At 41.5% G+C, this 6,019-nt stretch overlaps 1 annotated feature.

Annotated features, from left to right (window-relative positions):
• Positions 714 to 1,346: an enhancer, noted in NCBI's record as "NANOG-H3K27ac-H3K4me1 hESC enhancer chr9:92912157-92912789 (GRCh37/hg19 assembly coordinates)". NCBI's record gives its function as "activates a minimal SCP1, AML or CMV promoter by ChIP-STARR-seq in primed H9 embryonic stem cells {active_cell/tissue: H9 hESC(primed)}" and the evidence as "EXISTENCE:reporter gene assay evidence [ECO:0000049][PMID:30033119]".

Genomic DNA, 6,019 nt, shown 5'->3' on the forward strand with positions numbered 1-6,019 from the left:
AGTAAAGTTACAGATAAGCCAAAGTGCCTTTTTTCCCAAATTGTCAATGCTAACCACTCCTAAAAGAAAACCAAGGTAATTGTTGTGTTTGATATAGTCTTTCACACTTTAAAACGTGTTTATGTACAAAATATATGTCTCTAGAAAGAAGTTGGGAAGAACTGACATCTTGACAATATTGACTCTTTCTTTCCATGAACACAGAATATCTCTTCATTAATTTAGTTATTCTGTGGTTTCTTTTATCATCTTTTTGTAGTCTTTCTCATATAGATCTTATACATATTTTTTACAGCTTATACCTAAGAATTTCATTATTAGGGGTGCAAATGTACATAGTAATATGTTTTTAATTTCAAATTTTATGTATTTATTGCTGATCCATAGAAAAGTGTTTGACTTTTGTATATTAATCTTGCACCTTGCTATAATTGCTTCTTATTGAGGAGGAGCCAAGATGGCCGAATAGGAACAGCTCCGGTCTACAGCTCCCAGCGTGAGCGACGCAGAAGACGGGTGATTACTGCATTTCCATCTGAGGTACCGGGTTCATCTCACTAGGGAGTGCCAGACAGTGGGCGCAGGCCAGTGTGTGTGCGCACCGTGCACGAGCCGAAGCAGGGCGAGGCATTGCCTCACCTGGGAAGCGCAAGGGGTCAGGGAGTTCCCTTTCCGAGTCAAAGAAAGGGGTGACGGACGCACCTGGAAAATCAGGTCACTCCCACCCAAATATTGCGCTTTTCAGACCGGCTTAAGAAACAGCGCACCACGAGACTATATCCCACACCTGGCTCAGAGGGTCCTACGCCCACTGAATCTCGCTGATTGCTAGCACAGCAGTCTGAGATCAAACTGCAAGGCGGCAACGAGGCTGGGGGAGGGGCGCCCGCCATTGCCCAGGCTTGCTTAGGTAAACAAAGCAGCCGGGAAGCTCGAACTGGGTGGAGCCCACCACAGCTCAAGGATGCCTGCCTGCCTCTGTAGGCTCCACCTCTGGGGGCAGGGCACAGACAAACAAAAAGACAGCAGTAACCTCTACAGACTTAAGTGTCCCTGTCTGACAGCTTTGAAGAGAGCAGTGGTTCTCCCAGCACGCAGCTGGAGATCTGAGAACGGGCAGACTGCCTCCTCAAGTGGGTCCCTGACCCCTGACCCCCGAGCAGCCTAACTGGGAGGCACCCCCCAGCAGGGGCACACTGACACCTCACACGGCAGGGTATTCCAACAGACCTGCAGCTGAGGGTCCTGTCTGTTAGAAGGAAAACTAACAACCAGAAAGGACATCTACACCGAAAACCCATCTGTACATCACCATCATCAAAGACCAAAAGTAGATAAAACCACAAAGATGGGGAAAAAACAGAACAGAAAAACTGGAAACTCTAAAACGCAGAGTGCCTCTCCTCCTCCAAAGGAACGCAGTTCCTCACCAGCAACAGAACAAAGCTGGATGGAGAATGATTTTGACGAGCTGAGAGAAGAAGGCTTCAGACGATCAAATTACTCTGAGCTACGGGAGGACATTCAAACCAAAGGCAAAGAAGTTGAAAACTTTGAAAAAAATTTAGAAGAATGTATAACTAGAATAACCAATACAGAGAAGTGCTTAAAGGAGCTGATGGAGCTGAAAACCAAGGCTCGAGAACTACGTGAAGAATGCAGAAGCCTCAGGAGCCGATGCGATCAACTGGAAGAAAGGGTATCAGCAATGGAAGATGAAATGAATGAAATGAAGCGAGAAGGGAAGTTTAGAGAAAAAAGAATAAAAAGAAATGAGCAAAGCCTCCAAGAAATATGGGACTATGTGAAAAGACCAAATCTACGTCTGATTGGTGTACCTGAAAGTGATGTGGAGAATGGAACCAAGTTGGAAAACACTCTGCAGGATATTATCCAGGAGAACTTCCCCAATCTAGCAAGGCAGGCCAACGTTCAGATTCAGGAAATACAGAGAACGCCACAAAGATACTCCTCGAGAAGAGCAACTCCAAGACACATAATGGTCAGATTCACCAAAGTTGAAATGAAGGAAAAAATGTTAAGGGCAGCCAGAGAGAAAGGTCGGGTTACCCTCAAAGGAAAGCCCATCAGACTAACAGCGGATCTCTCGGCAGAAACCCTACAAGCCAGAAGAGAGTGGGGGCCAATATTCAACATTCTTAAAGAAAAGAATTTTCAACCCAGAATTTCATATCCAGCCAAACTAAGCTTCATAAGTGAAGGAGAAATAAAATACTTTATAGACAAGCAAATGCTGAGAGATTTTGTCACCACCAGGCCTGCCCTAAAAGAGCTCCTGAAGGAAGCGCTAAACATGGAAAGGAACAACCGGTACCAGCCGCTGCAAAATCATGCCAAAATGTAAAGACCATCGAGACTAGGAAGAAACTGCATCAACTAATGAGCAAAATCACCAGCTAACATCATAATGACAGGATCAAATTCACACATAACAATATTAACTTTAAATATAAATGGACTAAATTCTGCAATTAAAAGACACAGACTGGCAAGTTGGATAAAGAGTCAAGACCCACCAGTGTGCTGTATTCAGGAAACCCATTTCACGTGCAGAGACACACATAGGCTCAAAATAAAAGGATGGAGGAAGATCTACCAAGCCAATGGAAAACAAAAAAAGGCAGGGGTTTCAATCCTAGTCTCTGATAAAACAGACTTTAAACCAACAAAGATCAAAAGAGACAAAGAAGGCCATTACATAATGGTAAAGGGATCAATTCAACAAGAGGAGCTAACTATCCTAAATATTTATGCACCCAATACAGGAGCACCCAGATTCATAAAGCAAGTCCTCAGTGACCTACAAAGAGACTTAGACTCCCACACATTAATAATGGGAGACTTTAACACCCCACTGTCAACATTAGACAGATCAACGAGACAGAAAGTCAACAAGGATACCCAGGAATTGAACTCAGCTCTGCACCAAGCCGACCTAATAGACATCTACAGAACTCTCCACCCCAAATCAACAGAATATACATTTTTTTCAGCACCACACCACACCTATTCCAAAATTGACCACATAGTTGGAAGTAAAGCTCTCCTCAGCAAATGTAAAAGAACAGAAATTATAACAAACTATCTCTCAGACCACAGTGCAATCAAACTAGAACTCAGGATTAAGAATCTCACTCAAAGCCGCTCAACTACATGGAAACTGAACAACCTGCTCCTGAATGACTACTGGGTACATAACGAAATGAAGGCAGAAATAAAGATGTTCTTTGAAACCAATGAGAACAAAGACACCACATACCAGAATCTCTGGGACGCATTCAAAGCAGTGTGTAGAGGGAAATTTATTGCACTAAATGCCTACAAGAGAAAGCAGGAAAGATCCAAAATTGACACCCTAACATCACAATTAAAAGAACTAGAAAAGCAAGAGCAAACACATTCAAAAGCTAGCAGAAGGCAAGAAATAACTAAAATCAGAGCAGAACTGAAGGAAATAGAGACACAAAAAACCCTTCAAAAAATCAATGAATCCAGGAGCTGGTTTTTTGAAAAGATCAACAAAATTGATAGACCGCTAGCAAGACTAATAAAGAAAAAAAGAGAGAAGAATCAAATAGACACAATAAAAAATGATAAAGGGGATATCACCACCGATCCCACAGAAATACAAACTACCATCAGAGAATACTACAAACACCTCTACGCAAATAAACTAGAAAATCTAGAAGAAATGGATACATTCCTCGACACATACACTCTCCCAAGACTAAACCAGGAAGAAGTTGAATCTCTGAATAGACCAATAACAGGCTCTGAAATTGTGGCAATAATCAATAGTTTACCAACCAAAAAGAGTCCAGGACCAGATGGATTCACAGCCGAATTCTACCAGAGGTACAAGGAGGAACTGGTACCATTCCTTCTGAAACTATTCCAATCAATAGAAAAAGAGGGAATCCTCCCTAACTCATTTTATGAGGCCAGCATCATTCTGATACCAAAGCCGGGCAGAGACACAACCAAAAAAGAGAATTTTAGACCAATATCCTTGATGAACATTGATGCAAAAATCCTCAATAAAATACTGGCAAACCGAATCCAGCAGCACATCAAAAAGCTTATCCACCATGATCAAGTGGGCTTCATCCCTGGGATGCAAGGCTGGTTCAATATACGCAAATCAATAAATGTAATCCAGCATATAAACAGAGCCAAAGACAAAAACCACATGATTATCTCAATAGATGCAGAAAAAGCCTTTGACAAAATTCAACAACCCTTCATGCTAAAAACTCTCAATAAATTAGGTATTGATGGGACGTATTTCAAAATAGTAAGAGCTATCTATGACAAACCCACAGCCAATATCATACTGAATGGGCAAAAACTGGAAGCATTCCCTTTGAAAACTGGCACAAGACAGGGATGCCCTCTCTCACCGCTCCTATTCAACATAGTGTTGGAAGTGTTGGCCAGGGCAATCAGGCAGGAGAAGGAAATAAAGGGTATTCAATTAGGAAAAGAGGAAGTCAAATTGTCCCTGTTTGCAGACGACATGATTGTTTATCTAGAAAACCCCATCGTCTCAGCCCAAAATCTCCTTAAGCTGATAAGCAACTTCAGCAAAGTCTCAGGATACAAAATCAATGTACAAAAATCACAAGCATTCTTATACACCAACAACAGACAAACAGAGAGCCAAATCATGGGTGAACTCCCATTCACAATTGCTTCAAAGAGAATAAAATACCTAGGAATCCAACTTACAAGGGATGTGAAGGACCTCTTCAAGGAGAACTACAAACCACTGCTCAAGGAAATAAAAGAGGACACAAACAAATGGAAGAACATTCCATGCTCATGGGTAGGAAGAATCAATATCGTGAAAATGGCCATACTGCCCAAGGTAATTTACAGATTCAATGCCATCCCCATCAAGCTACCAATGACTTTCTTCACAGAATTGGAAAAAACTACTTTAAAGTTCATATGGAACCAAAAAAGAGCCCGCATTGCCAAGTCAATCCTAAGCCAAAAGAACAAAGCTGGAGGCATCACACTACCTGACTTCAAACTATACTACAAGGCTACAGTAACCAAAACAGCATGGTACTGGTACCAAAACAGAGATATAGATCAATGGAACAGAACAGAGCCCTCAGAAATAATGCCGCATATCTACAACTATCTGATCTTTGACAAACCTGAGAAAAACAAGCAATGGGGAAAGGATTCCCTATTTAATAAATGGTGCTGGGAAAACTGGCTAGCCATATGTAGAAAGCTGAAACTGGATCCCTTCCTTACACCTTATACAAAAATCAATTCAAGATGGATTAAAGATTTAAACGTTAAACCTAAAACCATAAAAACCCTAGAAGAAAACCTAGGCATTACCATTCAGGACATAGGCGTGGGCAAGGACTTCATGTCCAAAACACCAAAAGCAATGGCAACAAAAGACAAAATTGACAAATGGGATCTAATTAAACTAAAGAGCTTCTGCACAGCAAAAGAAACTACCATCAGAGTGAACAGGCAACCTACAACATGGGAGAAAATTTTCGCAACCTACTCATCTGACAAAGGGCTAATATCCAGAATCTACAATGAACTCAAACAAATTTACAAGAAAAAAACAAACAACCCCATCAAAAAGTGGGCGAAGGACATGAACAGACACTTCTCAAAAGAAGACATTTATGCAGCCAAAAAACACATGAAGAAATGCTCATCATCACTGGCCATCAGAGAAATGCAAATCAAAACCACTATGAGATATCATCTCACACCAGTTAGAATGGCAATCATTAAAAAGTCAGGAAACAACAGGTGCTGGAGAGGATGTGGAGAAATAGGAACACTTTTACACTGTTGGTGGGACTGTAAACTAGGTCAACCATTGTGGAAGTCAGTGTGGCGACTCCTCAGGGATCTAGAACTAGAAATACCATTTGACCCAGCCATCCCATTACTGGGTATATACCCAAATGAGTATAAATCATGCTGCTATAAAGACACATGCACACGTATGTTT

This window comes from Homo sapiens, chromosome 9 (assembly GCF_000001405.40).
Source record: "Homo sapiens chromosome 9, GRCh38.p14 Primary Assembly".
Classification (NCBI taxonomy): domain Eukaryota; kingdom Metazoa; phylum Chordata; class Mammalia; order Primates; family Hominidae; genus Homo; species Homo sapiens.